The 913-nt window shown below is 58.5% G+C and overlaps 1 annotated feature.

Moving 5' to 3' along the window:
- Positions 1–502: an enhancer, noted in NCBI's record as "H3K4me1 hESC enhancer chr4:146487383-146487884 (GRCh37/hg19 assembly coordinates)". NCBI's record gives its function as "activates a minimal SCP1, AML or CMV promoter by ChIP-STARR-seq in naive H9 embryonic stem cells {active_cell/tissue: H9 hESC(naive)}" and the evidence as "EXISTENCE:reporter gene assay evidence [ECO:0000049][PMID:30033119]".

The raw sequence follows: 913 nt of genomic DNA on the forward strand, positions 1-913 counted from the left end.
GTGATCCTGCCCATAAGATGGGGCCAGCCTGACCTGAGCACCTCTCAGTCTAGTGGCCTCTCCTGGTACCCCAGCCTGGCCATGCCCACTTGCAGTGCAGCCTCAGGTGCCCAGGGAGGATACCTCCTGGGGGCCCACATCATGGTTCCTGTGCTGGCAGACCATGCCTGACTGGAAGACAGCTCCAGTGGGAGCAGAGCAGCTCCAGCCCATTCACACCCTTTCCTCACTGCAGCCTCCCCTGCGCTGATTTGCCTGCACGCATTCACACACAGCCACCCCCAACATCACTACGCCAGTGCATGTGTGCATCAGCAGACCTTGCTTCCTTTTCCCCACCAGCAGGCATGTGCGTGTGCACCCTGTCATGCCACTGCTGCTGGCATGAGTGCACGCTGCCCCTTTCCCCCACCACACTGCCACTGCTGTCAAGTGTTGGCAGACACAGAGTCTGCCAGCCATGACCCCACCAGTGCCTCATCCCTGCACTGTCATTGCCACTGGTGCAAAACTAGGCACAGAAAACAGTGGATGTGCCCCCACCCTAAGTAGCCACCACTGCTGGTGTGAATGTGCGCAGAAGGCACATAGTCTTGTGCCCAACAGTGCCCTGCCCCCATGCTAACACCACCACTGGCAGGAATGTATGCACAGTCACCGGCAGAATCCCTCACGTCCCCCACACCAGCACCTCTCAGCCATGCTGCCACCACTGCTGTTGCAAATGCCCACACAGAGACAGACACCTTGGTATCCATTAGCAACCTTCTGCAGCCAATGAGTGTGCACCCCGCCATGCTGCTGCTGCTGCTGCTGCTGCTGCTGCTGGCTTGTGCAAACAAGGATAGATCCCACTGCTAGTGCCCTACAAAGTGCTTTGGCTGGCACTACCCATTGGAGTGTTGTGACTAGC

Source organism: Homo sapiens, chromosome 4 (assembly GCF_000001405.40).
Source record: "Homo sapiens chromosome 4, GRCh38.p14 Primary Assembly".
NCBI classification, from domain to species: domain Eukaryota; kingdom Metazoa; phylum Chordata; class Mammalia; order Primates; family Hominidae; genus Homo; species Homo sapiens.